General features: G+C 41.2%; 1 long non-coding RNA gene across 2 annotated transcripts; it reads right to left on the reverse strand.

Annotated features, from left to right (window-relative positions):
* Positions 1–7572: 7572 nt before the first annotated feature.
* On the reverse strand, positions 7573–12379 carry LOC105372775 (uncharacterized). Of its 2 annotated transcripts, none has more exons than XR_937658.1 (3): positions 12279–12379; positions 10850–11067; positions 7573–7957 (listed from the first exon to the last, which is right to left on the reverse strand). It is a non-coding gene; the product is annotated as an uncharacterized LOC105372775 (long non-coding RNA). The 2 variants fall into 2 exon arrangements; XR_937659.2 differs by lacking the exon at positions 7573–7957 and adding an exon at positions 9524–9695.
* Between the last annotated feature and the right edge of the window lie 5954 nt (positions 12380–18333).

The following is an 18333-nucleotide window of genomic DNA, read 5'->3' on the forward strand; positions in this document are numbered from 1 at the left end:
ATAATATAAAAGGTCCCTGTAGGACCTTTTTATATTATGTGACTTTTTTTAATGTCTAGGAAAACATGAGCTCGCAGCCATTTTCAAAAGCTTTGAGGAGGACCTTGGACCTCCCTTGAAATGTTGGATTGACCTCCCCATAGTGTTAGCTAACTCTCCACACACAGAGTGAATGTCAGGTGACATTAAAAAGAACAGAACCAAGACTTCCCAGCAGAACTAAATGGAAAAAGATAATCGTTTCTCAATCTTGGCACTCTTAACATTTCAGGCTAATAATTTTTTGTTGTGAGGGGCTGTGCTGTATACAGTGTAGGAAGTTCACCAGCATCCCTGGTATATTAGTCTGCTCTCACACTGCTAATTATAGACATACCTGAGACTGAGTAATTTATAAAGGAAAGAGGTTTAATGGACTCATGGTTCCACATGGCTGGGGAGGCCTCATAATCATGGTGGAAGGTGAAGGAGGAGCAAAGTCACATCTTACATGGCGGCAGGCAAGAAGGGAGAGTGTGCAGGGGAACTCCCCTTTATCAAACCATCAGATCTCATGAGACTTATTCACTATCACAAGAACAGCATGGGAAAGACCCACCCCCAGGATTCAATTACCTCCCACCAGGGCCCTCCCACAACACATGGGAATTATAGGAGCTACAATTTGAGATTTGGGTGAGGACACAGCCAAATCATATCACCTGGCCTCTGCCCCCGGGTGCCAATAGCTTTGCCCCTGCCTCCAAGTTGAGACCAAAAATGTCTCAAGATATTGCCATATATCCCCAGAGTGGAGAGGAGGGCACAAAACTGCCCCTAGTTGAGAACCAGTGGAGTAGAATGATGAGATTAGAAAGTGGTTCAGCACTCAGAGGCACTGAAACTCAAAAAAAAGAAAAAAAAAAGCAGTCAAAACCAAAACCCCATGTATCATTTTAAGGCTTTTTATTCATGTTAATCAAGCTGAAAAAATCTGGAGATAATTTGAGATTCAAAGTTTTGTCACTAATTATTTTAACAAGTATTTTAACAAGTACTCTCCAGATGCCCATTGTATTTTCAAATTTTATTTTTTAAAGACCCATTATTTTTCTCTCCTAGGACTGTCAGCTCTCTTCTCCATATTCCTTTTTTTTAATGCTTGTCAAAGTTTAATCAACCTAATTATCAGATTTGAAAATGAATGGCTATAAAATGTGAGTTTCTAAAAACAGATCAATCAACACAATTGTGCACGCGCCTAATAAAAGGTTTCAGGGTTAGGTTCTCCATGCCAGGAAGCTGTGACCCCAGAGACAGTTTCTCAGCATAATAGATTAACCTGCCTATTACCAGCAAAGTCTGATAGCTAATGGCTCACCCTGATTCAATCATAATAGCTACCTGCAGTGAAGTGATGTATCAGATTCTTAACTCTCATGGATATGGTGCTTGGAAATTAGGGGAAGAGTGTCTGGGAATCTCAAGTTAACAGAAATGTTATGGGTTGAATTGTGTCCTACCTCCTGCAACCTAAAATTAATATATTGAAGACCTAGCCCTCAGTAGCTCAGAATGTGACCTTATTTGGGAATAGGGTTATTACAGATATAATCAGTTAAGATGAAGTCATGGTGTAGTAGGATGGGTCCCTAATCCAATATGACTGGTGTCTTGTAAAAAGAGGAAATCTGGACACAGACACAGGGAGAACCCCATATGAAGATGAAAACAGAGATTGGGGTGAGTCATCTACAAGTCAAGGAATGCCCAAACTTGCCAGCAAACCACCAAAGGCTGGAAGAGAGACCTGGAGCAGACTCTTCCTCACAGCCTCAGAAGGAACCAGCCCTGCTGACACCTGGATCTCATACTTCTGGCCTCCAGAACTGTGAGAGAATAAATTTCTTTAGCTTAGGCCACCCAGTCTGTGCGACTTCATGACAGCAGCCTTAGACAATGAATTCAAGAAGCCTATTTCTAGCCCTGCTCTAATTTACCTCTGTCCAGCCACATCCAGGACATGTGGCAGATAATCTTTCTTCAAACTGGCGTGGCCAAAATATCTCCCACTAGACTCAAGCAAATGGCATCAGCAGAAATTACCTTTTTTAAAGTGAGTACAATTCAAGTGATGCCCAGACGGTCACATCAGAGGCCTCAAGAACTCTGGCACTTCCCAGCACACTTGCAGGTTTCAGCCGAGATCACTTATGTACCTAAGCTCAAAACCATTGGCCCTCACAGCTCTGAAACTGGTTTTCCTTTCCTTCTACAAGAACATAATTTTTGTGTCTTCGTATAGGCTCCAGAAGCTTGCATGAAACAGATTTTTTTTTTTTTTTTTTTTTTTGAGACAGAGTCTCGCTCTGTCACCCAGGCTGGAATGCAGTGGCATGATCTCGGCTCACTGCAACCTCTGCCTCCTGAGTTCACACCATTCTCCTGCCTCAGCCTCCCAAGTAGCTGGGATTACAGGCACCTGCCACCACGCCCAGGTAATTTTTTTTTTGTATTTTTAGTAGAGACGGGGTTTCACTGTGTTAGCCAGGATGGTCTCGATCTCCTGACCTCGTGATCTGCCCGCCTCAGCCTCCCAAAGTGCTGGGATTACAGGCGTGAGCCACCGCGCCCAGCAACAGATTTTTAATGTACTTTTCCTTTTATAAACTATGTACAGAGCTGTCGTCACAAGAAAGCACAAGGCTCTCGAATACCTTCTTTGAGTGGTTATCAGGGAAAGAAATTCGGGAGATGCACAGTTTTCCCCAAAGGGATCTAATTCCCTTTTCTAAATCTTTAGCTTCCTGAATTAACAGGTTTAACAAAGGTAATCCAAAACCAAAGCTTTCACATGAGCTGTGTTCCAGAGATTATTTATAAAATGGCCTCATTGAGAAGCATTTTCTCACAGTGATAATATTATGAGTGAAAGAATCCTAGGCAGTTCAAGAAAACAAAAATAACTATTTAATCCATAATGTCACAGAAGCACCATTCCCAAAAAAGCAGGCTGAGTTTGACATCCTGGGACCAAGGGTTCCTGTACTTCCAAAGGGAAGGCCACTTTTCAAATGTTTTTAGTTCTCCCATTTATTTTACTTCCAGGAAGAAGTGGATGTTTTCATGTTAAATTTGGTTTGGCTGTGCAATAGGATATAGACTGGGGCTTTTCCTGACTCAGGATTAACTTAGGCACCAATCAGAAAATACTCATATGACTGTAAAATTCAAACCTCCACCGAGAAAATTTACAGGCTGGGTGCAGTGGTTCATGCCTATAATCCCAGAACTTTGGGAGGCTGAGGTGAGAGGATTGGATGAGCCCATGAGTTCAAGACCAGCCTGGGCAACATAGCAAGACCCCAGTCTCTTTAAAAAAAAATTTATTTCACCAGCACGGTGGCACACACCTGTGGTTGCCGCTACTCAGGAGGCTGAAGTGGGAGAATCGCTTGAGCCCAGGAGGTCAAGACTACAGTGAGCCAAGATCACACCACTGCACTCCAGCCTGGGTGACAGAGGAAGACCCTGTCTCATAAAAGAGGAAGGAAGGAAGGAAGGAAGGAAGGAAGGGAGGGAGGGAGGGAGGGAAGAAGGGAAGGAGAGAGTGAGGGAGGGAGGGACAGAAAAGAAAGTTTACACTGTGAATTGAAGACCTGCTCCAGGATTCTTGAATCCCTTCATCTATTTCAGGAATATAAAGACTAAAGGGAGTGGCAATTTAGAATGAAGGTTTCTTTGGTGAGAGCTGGTAATGTCCTCTAGCTGAGCCCCCTGAGCTGCCATCCTCATCTTGAGTGTGATGAGAGGGGCTTCTACTCTAGGGTGCTTTAAAACCATGTTTTCTGCAGTTGGGTGACTCCAAGGACCAGTGCCTACTGACCCCAGAAAAAGCTAAATAAAACTGTGAAATTTCAACTTCTGGCTATGAGAGCATAGCTTGCTTCAAAGCAGCTTTCCCTTAAATAAACTATAAAAGCTGAATTTCTATTTAAAGTAGCTATTTCAAACCACAGCAGATAAAGCAAAGTAGCCAACATTTGAGGAATCAAGATCCAAAGAGAAAGAAAATGCACTGATATGATCATAACATTCTCTGCCACATTTCTCCTCCTGGTGTTTGCCAATTTCTCAGTGGCATGGCAGAAAAGACAAAAGAGTCAGTACACACAGTTATCCCTCAGTGTCCATAGGGATTGGTTCTAAGACTCACCCCTCCCCCCAACCCCAATACAGATAATCTGTGGATGCAAGGGACTTAAGAGTCACTTACAGGCTGAGGCAGTGGCTCACACCTGTAATCCCTCGGCTTTGGGAGGCCGAGGGATTGGGGAACACGAGGTCAGGAGATCGAGACCATCCTGGCTAACACAGTGAAATCCCGTCTCTACTAAAAATACAAAAAATTAGCCGGGCGTGGTGGCATGAGCCTGTAGTCCCAGTTACTCAGGAAGCTGAGGCAGGAGAATCTCTTGAACCCGAGAGGCGGAGGTTGCAGTGAGCCAAGATTGCACCACTGCACTTCAGCCTGGCAACAGAGCAAGACTCCATCTCAAAAAAAAAAAAAAAAAGAGTCCCTTATATAAAATGGCATAGTATTTGAATGTAATCTATGCACATCCCTTTCTTATGCTTTAATCATCTCTAGGTTACTTATAATACCTAATACAATGTAAATGCTATATAAGTAGTTGTTATACTGTATTGCTTTTTATTTGTGTTATTTTTATTGGTTGCTTTCCTTTTTTTGTTGTTTGTTTTTAGACAGGATGTTGCTCTGTCATCCAGGCTGGGCTGGAGTGCAGTGGTGTGAACCACAACTCACTGCAGCCTTGATTTCCTGGCCTCAAGCAATCTTCCTGCCTCAGCCTCCTAAGTAACTGAGGTGCATGCCATCACACTCGACTAATGTTTCTAATTTTTTGCAGAGACACATCTCTTTATGTTGCCCAGGCTGGTCTTGAACTCCTGGGCTCAAGCCATCCTTCTGCCCTGGGCTCAAGCCATCCTCCTGGCATCAAAAAAACACCAGGCATGCCAAGAAATAGAACCAAGCGATTGTAAAAAAAGAGAGACGGGGAAAGAAAATGGACAACAGAAAGATACCCACAGCTCTTTAAACTAAATGTGATTGATGTGTTCAAGAATATAGATAGCAAGATGGGGAATTTTATCAGAGAATTGAAATATACTAAGAAACAATATATAAAATTTAGAAATAAAAAATTCATTAGCTGAAATTAATAACTCAAGAAACAGGGGTAACACCAGATTAGATAAACAGAAGAAATGATTAATGAACTGATATTGCTCATTATAAAAATAACTATTGAAGCATGAGAGGGGAAAAAAGGAAATACTTAAGAGTGGAATTGCTCTACGGAACAAGATAAAAGGCCTAAAGCATGTGTAAGTGGAGTCCCAGAAGGCAAAGGAAGAGAGAATGAACAGAAATATTTGAAGAGATTATGAATGAGCCTTTTCTGATACTGAAAGGCAGCCATAGACTCAAGAAGTTCTGCAAACCACATGCAAGACAATCACAAAGAAATCTACACCAAGGCATATTATGGCAAAAACTGCTAAGAACCAAAGATAAGGAGAAAAAGAAACACACTAACACTTTCAGAGAAGCATGAAACTTTCAAAACACTCTTTTCCTTCTGTAATCTTATTTCTATGAAGAGGTGCATATGGGACCCATTGACTCTCTCCTCTCTTATCCCCAAGCAGCCTATCCAGTAAGGTGGTCAAGTAAGGAGAATTTCTCTCTTTACAACCCAGTCAAGCAGCTCACTTCTTGAATTGGAAGATGCACTCTGTGTTAATCTGTGGCAGAGAGTGCTAGCTTCCTTCTCAATCATTACTCTCCCCTTCCTCTCTACAAACAGAACCAATGTGCCTAGCTAAAACCAAACAGAAACAACATCCCCTCATTATCCAGCATCAACTGTAGTTAGAAATGGCTATGGGACACAGTTCTAGCCAATAATAATTAAGCAGCATTTTTTCATGTGGCTACCAGGAAGCACCTTCAAATGGAATAGAATCAGTCGGCACACAGTTAGTTAGGCTTGTCCTCTTTGCTTTCCTCTTCTGACTTGAAGTGCAGCTATGATGGCAGGAGCTGCAGCAGGCATATTACAACTGAAAATGAAAGAAAAGCTAAAGAATTTCAAAAATCGATCTGGACATTCTTGAGCTGCTCCACAAACTATCGTCTGATTATCCCAAAACTTCTTTGTCATTTGAAAGGATCATAAAACACTAAGCCACTATTATTTGGATTGTTTTGATATATGCAGCTAAACCCAAACTCTGTTAGAGCTTCCCTTTTCTTGTGGCTTGAAACAAATCTGTAAAAAAATTCTTCTATTGAGTTCAGCTTGTTGCTGCTTTGAAGCTAAGGAAAGCCTCAAAATATCTGACCTAAGAAGAAACTAATCAGCTTCTTATTCTCACATGGCATTTTTTCAACAGAAGAGAGAGACAATTTAATACAAGATATATGATCATCAAATTCTGAGCCCTTGCTCAAGGGAAATCTGAGTAGCTAAGATGCAAGTCAATCTGTCTTTGGTCTCTAGTATCTACTTCAGTTCAGAACAGAGAGCACAGTATTTAATTATGTCTCAGATTCTGAACACAGAGGGGAATTGGGGAACAAGTTTCCTTCCAAATCAGAGCCTATGGTGAAGGAGCAGATTTTTTTTTCCAGTCCATCACAGAGCTATACTTTTATAAAATACAAGAAAACTGAGGCCAGGCATGGTGGTTCACACCTGTAATCCCAGCATTTTGGGAAGCCAAGGCAGGCAGATCACCTAAGGTCAGGAGTTCGAGACCAGCCTGGCCAACATGGTGAAACCCCATCTCTACTAAAAATACAAAATTAGCCCAGTGTGGTGGTGCATGCCTGTAATCCCAGCTACTTGGGAGGCTGAGGCAGCAGAATGGTTTGAACCCAGGAGGTGGAGTTTGCAGTGAGCCGAGATAGTGCCACTGCACTCCAGCCTGGGCAACAGAAGCGAAACTTTGTAAAAGAAGGAAGGAAGGAAGGAAGGGAGGGAGGGAGGAGGGAGGGAGGGAGGGAAAATTGAATTACTGGGAAAGTGAACATTTTTAAAAGCATACAAAATAGTTTTCTTAATATTATATTATCAATTCAAGAGACATAAAGTAATTGTCAAAATGCTTTTTTTTTTTAAAGTTTCTTAAGTCTTACTCTCAATTTTAGTACTTGTCTTACTGTGATCTACTAACAGGTCAAGTACCAGCACTGGTCCACAGACTACAAGTTGAATAGAACAGCTATTGCAATATCTTAGTCAGCTAGGGCTGCTACAACAAAGTGCCCCAAGCAGGGTGACTTAACAGAAACGTATTTCTCACAGTTCTGGATACTAGAAGCCCAAGATCAAGCAATCAGTAGGTTTCATCTCTCCAAAGGCCTTTCTCCTTGGCTTGCAGGTGGCTGCCTTCTTGCTGTGTGCTGTGTCCCCATCTGGCCTTTCCTCTGTGCACTTGTATCCCTCTCACTTCTTATAAGGACACCAGTCCTATGGAGTTAGGGTCCCAACCTTATGACCTCATTTAACATTAATTTTCTCATTAAAGTCCTATTTGCAAATGCAGTCACATTGGGGGTTAGAACATTAACATACGAATTTGAGGAGTCAGAATTCAATCCATAATAAGAGTAATGCTTATATAAGCTTCTTCAATCGTTCTCTGCCTTAGCCTCGTTAGAATCTGAAGAGAAAGACCTCTAGATGTCCTCTTATCTCTGAGGGGATTAGAAAGTGCAAAAAGAAAAAAAGAAAAGTCCCTCACAGACAGTGTTCGTTTATCCACAGTTCATCTCCAATCAAAAAAGATCATTTTAACAAATCAGCTTGTAAACCTCTCCATCATGGTTCTCCCACCTTCTTCATCTGTTCTGTTTATCTTTGCATAGATTTCCTCCAAAGAAGTCCTAAAGGATCAAAAAAACTTTTTTAATGAATATTTCAAAGTATGATTGAACAAAGCAACAGCTTTTGAAAAAAATTATACAGACTTTCCTTACTGTGACTGTTGGACCTGCTGTCTTTCTCAAGGGTTATATTTTTGTTTACATTTTACTTAGGTTTCCTTGGGATTTCATTTTGATGTGTGAGTTTTAGTGTGTGTTCCCGTAGCTCAGGGACAAGGATGGAGCTAATAGAGAGCAGAATTGTAAATCGGGTGTTTTCTCTAACACATTTGTAAGAGTGTGCTAGAATACTCCTGTGCTGGTATCTCTATCTCTTGCCAGCTGTGACCCATCTTGTGTGCACCCAAGCAGATATTTTGTCAGGAGGCCCATGAACCACACTAGTGTTCACTTTGTCTTGGAGTAAAGATTTTTCTTTCTCCTTTGCCTGCAACAGCATACATTTATACTGTCAAATCATATATTTTGTTCCTAAAGATGTCTTCATTTCTTTTTCTAATTCCACAGCAATCTGCTGATTTAACTCACGTCTCTAAGAGGTGACAGTTCAAGGAATCTGGTACATACAACCTGATATTTATAATCAGTTCTACTAATGGCTGCTTCAGTAAGTCTACTCTTGTTGATAATATTTCAGAAAATGAATGATTGTCAGACTACTTAAAATTGCATTTGTAACCAACAAATAAATATTTGAAAGCCTTGCTGCAAACTATGTACACTGAGAGGCCCTTCAAAGAAAATAGACACTCAGAAAGCCTTTCTTAAGTATTTGCAATCCTTTTTTTAATAAGATAAATTAGAATTTTATTTTATTTTATTTTATTTTATTTTTAGCGAGAGACAGGGTCTTGCTCTGTCACCCAGCCTGAAGTACAGTAGTACAATCATAACTCACTGCAGCCTCGACCTCCTGGGCTCAAGTAATCCTCCTTACTCAACTTCCCAAGTAGCGGAAACTACAGGCACACACCACCACACTTGGCTAGGTTTTTTTTTAATTTTTTGTAGAGATGGGGTCTTGCTATGTTGCCCAGGCTGGTTTCAAACTCCTGGACTCAAGCAATCTTCCCACCTTTGCCTCCCAGAGTGTTGGGATTAAAGGTGTGAGCCACCACATCTGGCAAATTAGAATTTTTAAGTAGGGCAAAGATGTATAGACTGCAGAAATATATTTTATTTATATGCTAATGTTATATTTCATCATATAAACTTTTGGGTCAGGCGTGGTGGCTCATGCCTATAATTCTAGCACTTTGGGAGCCTGAGGCAGGAGGATCACTTGAGGCCAGGAGTTCCAGACCAGCCTACCCAACATGGCAAAACCCCATCTCTACTAAAAATACAAAAATTAGCCAGGCATGGTGGCATATACCTGTAATCCCAGCTACTCGGGAGGCTGAGGCAGGAGAATTGCTTAACCCAGCAGGTGGAGGTTGCAGTGAGCCGAGATTGCATCACTGCACTCCAGCCTGGACAACAGAACAAGACTCCATCTCAAAATGAACCAACAAACAAAACAAACTTTTGGATTTTATTAAATCTACAAATAAAGACCAGAAAACTTCCTTGTGGAACCTATGCTCACCTATAACTGTTGTGAATGTTCAAATCACAGTTAACGTCCAGTCATACTTTTAAATGTACTTCTAACATTTTGTTTCCATGAAAATGTTTTTGCCTTATTAAGACTTGCTTAAAATAGCCTGTCCAAGCCTTTGTTTCTTGATCTGCAAAACTTAGAGAATTGGACTAACAGTTAAGAGGCATTTTAATTCCTTTATTCTTTTTACTGACCTGCATGTTTATCTTCTTGTGATCTAGTTGTTGCTATTCTTGCTTTAAAATTTCACATTATATTTCTTCAATTAAAATGTAAGCTCTTGGGAGCAGAAATCATACCATGTCTGTTTTATATATCAGCCTCAGTTTGATTTTGCTGCTATAACAAAATGAGACTAAGTAATTTACAAAAAGAGAAATACATCTCTTACAGTTCTGGAGGCTGAGAAATCCAAGATCAAGGCACCAGCAGATTCCATGCCTGGTGAGGGCTGTTCTCTGCTTCCAAGATGGCACCCTGTTCCTACATCCACACCTGGCAGAAGAGATGAATGCTGTGTCTTCAAACGACAGAAAATGGAAGGCCAAAAAGGGGTGCAGCTAGTTCCTTCCATCCCTTTTATAGTGGTTTTTGAGGTGGTTAACACCTCATTCATGAGGGTGAAGCTTTCACGACCTAGTCACCTCTCAAGGCCTACCTTTTAATATCATCACCTTGGGGTTTACATTCCAACATACGAGTTTTGGAGGGATGCATACATTTAAACCACAGCAATCCCCTATAGTGGTGCTACTGAAAGTACTGGGCCTCAAACTATTTGTTACTGGTCCCTGATGAGGTCAGGAGCTTATACCAAAATATAATTCAACCACACACATAGATCTGTTTAGTTGAGCCAACGTTTTTTTCTGAGAAGGACTTTCTTGATGAAGGAATCTGTATGTTGATTTACCTTTCTGGAATAAGCTTCCTATCTCACCATAACAAATGGTTCTGGGAAAAACACCAGTCTGTGGACTGTACTTTGAGTAGGACTGGTCTATAGAGATTTTCTATAAAGGTCTATTTAAAATTCTCAGTAAATATTGGTTGTTTGACAAATGACTCATCTGTTCACTTAATGGACACTGATAGAGCATTCATGATGGAAGATGGCAGTAAGAGGTACTATGGTGGGGCAGGATGGGGACACACAAGCCTATGGTTACTTACAGTCTATTAAGCAAGATGACATATTTTAAATAAGTGGAAAGTAGAACAAAAAATGTATAACAAAGGCACAAATAAAACACCATGAAAGTTCAAAAGAGGGAAGGAATTCATCTTACAAGTCACTTGGGAGAGGTAATCTGGAAACTTCTAACTTGAAGGCGGAGCAGAATGTTGAATGATGGAGTTGGGTATGGGGACCATCACCCAGAGCAAACACAGGATGCAAGGAAGCTGTAGACATGTTTAGGAGACCACCCAAGTTTGCTTACTACTGCCTTTCCTACTATTTGATTTGGGACAAGCATTCAAGCTCTGCACAGTATCTTGCCCGCACCTGTTAAAATGGAAATAATAAAAATAGTATTCATCTTATAGGGTGAAGATCAAAGGGCTTAATTCAAGTAAAGTGTTTAGAGCAATGGCCAGTGCTCAATAACTGTCAACTCTTGCTGTTCTCATTATCATTCATCACATTGTTTTTATGGAATGTTAACTTTGTACTAGCTCTTTGATTCTTTCAATATCTTCGGTTTTATGCTTTAGAAAATAAAAAAGCTACCGAAGTCTTTGAACTACCATGAGACCGAGAGTAGAGAAGAATGGATTAAGTCAGAAATGTGATGGTTACCTACAATTAAGGAGCAAAAGGAGAAAGCAAAATTAGCAAAGAAAACAAAAAAGCATTATCTGGGAGGTAGGAAGAAAACCAGATAAAGACGGGCAGTTGGAATCTGAGCTAGGAAAAAATGTTTTAGCCATTATAACAAAAATAATAATAATAAAAATAATAATAACAAATACTAACAAAAATAATAACAAAAATAGGCCATTAACAAAATCAGCTATTGGGGGAAGAAAAGAAGCAGTTGAATTTGAGAAGTATGACGTCATTCACAGCAACCCTTAAGGGAATTTCTTCAGGGTGACTGAAGCAGACACTAGATTGCAAGAAATAGAGAAGAGAGAAAACAGTGAGGAAAGGGAAGCAGTATAGATAATATACTCATTCTTTTGTATTTACTTTCTGTGACTGAACATGCATGTGTTTATAGGCCACTGAAATGACAGCCAACACCTAAAGGCAGCTTATCTCTCTTAAAGATAGGTCATAGACATCTATTGTTTTTTCTGTCCTACATCATCCCCAACTCGTTCTTTAAACTACTTCTACCTGTACCTCAAACATTGAAGGTGACATGAGCAATATATGGATTTCTCTTTTTTTTTTTTTTTTTTCCCTGAGACGGAGTCTCGCTCTGTCGCCAGGCTGGAGTGCTGTGGCACAATCTTGGCTCACTGCAACCTCCGACTCCCTGGTTCAAGTGATTCTCCTGCCTCAGCCTCCTGAGTAGCTGGGATTACAGGCACGCACCACCACGCCCAGCTAATTTTTGTATTTTTAGTAGAGATGGAGTTTCACTATGTTGGCCAGGATGGTCTCGATCTCCTGACTTTGTGATCCACCCACCTCGGCCTCCCAAAGTGCTGGGATTACAGACGTGAGCCACTGTGCCCAGCCAATATATGGATTTCTAAATGAGGTACCAGAGAGAAAGCATGAGTCCGTCCTTCCCGTGTAGTAAAAATTTTAAGATGAAAAACTTTGGTGCTTTCAGACGTTGTGTTTCTTCCCTGCTGGGCTAAGCCAGTCACTCTGCAAAGAAAGATAATGATTCCATTTCTCAGACAGAAGCAGATTGAAGAAATGAAGAGAAAGAATCCTAAGGGCAGCTAGACCCTAGTTACAGTTACTTCTGAGGCACAGCCACATTCTGCCTGCCCAGTGGTTTTCCCATGTCACACTTTCTTGCTTTCCATGAGCCAACATACTTACTCTCGTCTTAGGTACTCTGAGTTAGATATGTGCCCCCTTGAGACTTTAAATGACCTAATACAAGAAGGAATATATGCAACGAAGGCTTGGTAGATGTTGGAAATATTAGCACAATGATTTAGGACGATGGCATGCTATTCTTGAAATTGAAATGAAACATAAGGCAATAAAACACTTCTTGTTAATGTGAAAGAATGAAGATGGTTAAAGACACAGATGAAGTGGGTCTAAATCTCAGTCTTTAACTCAAGCAGGCAATACATATTGTATTTTTCTATAACTCAACCTAATTGTTATTATAAGCCCCCATCCCCCTGGGTTGGTGGAAATTTTATCCTAGTTGGTTCTGGCCTCCCTGCTTTCTTCTCCAGAGTTCTATCAATGTTCCAGGGTGCTTACAGAATCCTGAAACATGGCTGGGGAGAAGGGAGTTGAAATATTGGTCTGTGAAGTTTTCTGCCAAGTCATGTTTGTTTCTGCTCATGGTGACTTCAAGTCTGGTGGCTTTTCTGCTGTTTCCATATAATGCCAGTGGCAAGGGACTCTCACTATCACCTTTGTGCCACACCAGGGGTGCAATAATCTCTACTAGACTAAGAGCCCATCTGGTATACACCACGAGTCCAATTTCTCTCCGCAATTCTGCTAGACAAGGCAGCAGGTGCACTTTTGCTAGGATTTACGAAGAGCAGATCCTCTGTTCTCACATCATCCAAGAGGAATCTTCTAGTTTTGGGAAGGACTGAAGTGGGGCAGGGACAAGAATTCTTCTTTCATGTTTTTCCCCACCATTGAGTCCGTCCTTAGTTGCCCTCTTCTTCTTAAGAGCTCAGAGTATTTGAAACCAAAATCATTAAGACCCATCCTGTCCTACCTCTCCACTGAGACAATGAACATGGAGACAATTTACCGCTTCTATGGACAGGAAGGAAAAGCAGGAAATGTTGGAAGAAAACAAGTTGATAGAGGTTAATATCTCAAAAATATCCTAACACTCAGAGAACTTTAGAAATGAAATAAGAGAAAATGAGAGGAGTTCTCATTAGATGGACTTGATGATCTCGGTAAATGAAGAGATGAGAGTTTTCTGTGGGGAGAAGAGAGCTGAGGATTGACAGCTGATTCAGAGGATTGCTGAACAGCAGAAGGAGCTGGGCACCCAGACAACTTGAACTTACCCCCAAGCCCTCAGCACTGTTTCTCAGCTTCCTCTACCAGGTCCTGTCACCCAGAAATGGCATGAGAAAGGGTTCAGTAAGAAGTATCCAGACATGGATGTGACAAATGGGGACAGTGAAGGGCCAAGGGTGGTGAGGGATGCTAAGGTGCTGGCGAGGAAACTGCACAAAGGAGTCACGGGATCCAGGCTGGGTAGAGGGACAACGGAGGCAGACTGGGGCGAAGAGTTCAGACAAGAGACCAGAGCTGTGGGAGCAGATGTCCCAGTGAGGATGAAGAGCCACTTCAACACAAATGAGAACATGAGGGTTGGAGAAGCAGAGAATCCAGATCTGACAAAGTCCTAGGAGATGATAAAGAATACTGCTGGAAGGTCCACATACCCTGCCTATGCTGAGAACCAGGTCTGCTATTAAACCCAGAAACACCCACTCTAAGCCATCATCCACCCCAGGACCACCTATATCAGTTCCCGTGGACTCTCTAGTAAGTAGGAACTGGATTGTCCCAAGGAACCGGGAACTGTCCCCACCAAGTATTTGCTTAATTCAAGATTTCCAAAGTCTTATGAAAACAGGGACTAAGAACATGACCCATAAGGCACACATTGGGATATTAGCAATGTCAGACAGCCGTGTGGTGAAGAACGCCACAGAGTCTAAGGTCTGCTGCATGGGAACGGCTGAATGTTTCCACAAAGAGGGCATTAAGTTTTTAATCTTCATTTTGCACATGATTTTCGCTCTTCTTTGGGTAAGGCAAATCTCATCACTGGTTTTTGTTGTTGTGTTTTGACACAGGGTCTCACTCTGTCACCCAGGCTGGGGTGCAGTGGCAGGATCGTGGCTCACTGCTGCCTCAAACACCTAGGCTCAAGCAATCCTCCCACTTCAACCTCCCAAATAGCCATGACTACAGGCAGCACCACAATGCCCAGCTAATTTTTAATTTTTTTTTGTAAGAGAGGGTGGTCTCACTATGGTACCCAGGCTGCTCTTGAACTCCTGGCCTCAAGCAGTCCTCCCAGCTCAGCCTCCCAAAGTGCTGGGATAACAGCCATGAGCCACCGCACCCGGCCTCATCATTGGTTCTTACATTTTAAGTTTCTCTATTTACTGAGAATAATACCTTTCACTCAGCAATATTGTTCTTGGGATTAAAGTGCAAAGTGTACACTTAAAGCTGGGGAATTGGCAAACATCATGATTTTACCATCTCCACTGAAGAGCACTATTTTGCATTTCTAGAGAAATTTGAAGCTTCTGAGAGTTTCAGTGTCATCAGTTGGCTGGTGCCTGTGACCTTCTTACAGAACGAGATGGTGTATTCTACTTTTTGAATAATAAATAGGAAAAACAGGCATATTCTCAACAGAGATGGCATTTGAATAAAAGTGTTCTCAGCTTCCTGTCTTTTATTCAGGAAACTCGTTTCTAATCCTGCTTTATAAACACACACACTCTTTCCTTCCTGTTGATGGTATATTTCAATTGTTTCTGCTTGCTGAGGTCCTCAAAACACAAATGCAATCATCTCTATGCCTTGTTTACATTTGCTTCTTAGGAAATGCAATAATCTTACAGAAAGCCTCACTACCGTCTATTTTAAAATCTGGTACACTGGGCAGCTACTAACTAGTTATACACCAGGCACATAAGGAAATAAATCAAGCTTGCATGGAGGATCCCCAGCCAAGAGAAAGCTTTTTTTTTTCTTGTTTTTTTTTTTCTTGTTTTTTAACATTGGATTGGCAAATCGTATAATCAGGATCTCTCTAGGATTTTGTACCTGGCATAAAGGAAAACAATGTTGTGGAAGCTGTTTCGAGGGAACCTGAAATGCTCAAGGGCATGAGGGGAACTTCCCAACTCTCACTTGAAAAGATACAGACAAAAGCACACAGATACTGCACTGCAAAAATTTGACTAAGGATTGCAATAGAATTGGCCAACATCTCAACAGAGTTACATGATTGCCAGATTCTCTGAATTGCCTCAACACAGAGCCATTATTCTGAGTCTGGGAATGCTAAATGAAACCCATGCCTACTATGTATGCTTTAAATCAGAAACTAAAAAGACCGATTTTATTTCATTGTTGGTAGTATGTTGTTTTCATTTTCCGTTTATGCTTCTTTTGAAGTACCTGCTTCTTTTCCCTATTAAGTAATCATGAATTACACTTGCAAAGTACAGTATCTTTTGCTTTAAATCCCTCTTTGTGCCTGTTTTCTAATTCATCCTCAATAGACAGGACAGCTCTTGTCCAAATTTCACAGATGAAACGCAAAGAGGGAAAGTGCAGACTTAAGCAAAGCCTTTGGCAGAATCCACTACCCAGAGAGAGGCGCAGAAGCAAGACACAGTCTATGCAGTCTCCCTGGTCCAGGTCATGGGACTACCTTGGGTCCAGTCAACCTTGGACAATTGTACGAAGCCTTACAAAGCAACCACGGGAAGGATGACACTTGTTTAGTACAACACCATATTAACCATGTATTTCCAATGTTTTGACATCTTGGGGCCTTGCTAATCTTGAAAGCACTGTCACCCCCTGCCACAGACCCCCACCACCACTTCCCCAATGACTAGAAATAGTAAAGGACTCTCTTGCAAGCATGCTTTCCATATTCAAACCAACCAATCTCTTGAGAGGCAAGAGAGCCCATGCCTCTCAACCACCTCTTTTATTGGGCTCTGACACTCTCGGCCATTATTTCTTTGCCCAAATCACCCCAGAGCCAGGTACTAGACAAGTGAGGACATCTTCTGCACCTCAAAAACTGCTGAAATTATTCAAACGAACCAATTCTAAGCCAGCTTACCCTGCCTCCCCGCTCTTTCCCATGGAAACCACAGTAAAGAGTCTTGCCGATGTTTTCCCCTCTCTCCCTCTGCCTCCTGGCCAATGCTGATGCTTCTCTGTGTGCCCTGACTCCCCGTGGTATGGCATGTATGCCAGAGTTCCCCTCCGCTTGAAATCTATGACAAGTCATCTTTTCAATGGCAGTCATCTACTGACCCATTTGCCTCACTATATCTGAATAATAATGAAACCTACATTTGAAAACATGCACATTTCTTCTCTTCTATTCATTAAACCCTAAACAAATTAAAAATTAAAAGAAGCTTGGACCAGCAGATGAAAGATAATCCTAACATGTGCCTCTCCCTCCTGAGCCCCTGCAAAGCCATCACATGTGCAATCAACATGATTTCTGAATTGGAAGATTGTCTGCTCAGCTTGAGTTATTCCTTCAAGCTGAACAGGCAACAGAAAGCAGACAAGAAATGGCCTAGCTGATGATAAATGCCTAAATAAAAAAAAATCGTAACAGTCCTCCTCTTACACAGACCTCCACACACGTTCACCATAGGGTGATTCCATCAGTGCAGGGCTTGCTCACCGAAGGGATTGGTTAGAAGTGGCTTAACTTCCAATAGGACATTTGCATTGTAATGGGAGCATAGAGCAACTACTCTCATTCTTTAAGGCCTGTATTGGAAATATTTTTGGAACTGAAACAAGTTTGAGAGTTTATCCTGAGGTTGGGAGGTGGGGATGGGAGATAGGACCAGACTTTTTGAAAAATTCTATTTGTGGTTTTCTCAAGGTACAGAAGACTGCCAGGGAGAAAAAATTATTTCTTGTACATTTGAAATACAATCTGCCTTTTATAGATTGGTTTTAAGATATTATACTCTTCTTTTTATTTCAAAGAGCAGATGAAAATGGAAAATTGTTAGCTATTCTAAAAATCATATAATCATAATTATCAATTTGAATTCCTATTGCTAATTCTTGCTACTGCAGTGAAATGATTTATCATAAAACACATCTTGGGATTTTAATTGTGTGCACTTGAATTGTATTTGCATATTCTCAGCACACTTCATCATTTTCATTCCTGATAAAGCACTTCCAAAGAAACTTTGCTCTGTCAGTTTAAGAATGCATTGTTTTTTCATATCTTCAAAACTATGGGTAATTGCTATCACATTCTGAATATGTTTAGGATTAGAGGTAGCCTGGACTTTATGAAATGGTGCCACCAAGGTAAGATTTCAAAAATGCTGGTCTAGGTGTCCAACACTTAATGTTATTCATGTCCACATCCTGTAGAATATTATTTAAGGATTTTTTGAATGATGGTTGAAACTGAAGCAATAGTATTTCCCTTGAAAGTGAAATTTTCTCAAAACCTGTCTTCCTCCTACGTCGTTAAGGAACCAAGAAGCTACAAAGGAAAGGAGGCTGTTACGACATTAACCTAAGGGAGGAGACCACCCCTCATATTGTCTTATGCCCAATTTCTGCCTCCAAAGAAAGAAGTAAAAACTAAAAGGCAGAAATGAAATCCACAAGCAGACAGCCCGGCACCACACTCTGGACCTGGTAGTTAAAGATCGACCCCTGACCTAATTGGTTATGTTATCTATAGATTACAGACATTGTATAGAAAAGCACTGTGAAAACCCCTGTCCTGTTTTGTTCCGATCTAATTACCGGTGCATGCAGCCCCCAGGCACGTACCCCCCTGCTTGCTCAATCGATCACGACCCTCTCACGCACAACCCCTTAGAGTTG

The sequence above is a fragment of the Homo sapiens genome, chromosome 21 (assembly GCF_000001405.40).
Source record: "Homo sapiens chromosome 21, GRCh38.p14 Primary Assembly".
Lineage (NCBI taxonomy): Eukaryota > Metazoa > Chordata > Mammalia > Primates > Hominidae > Homo > Homo sapiens.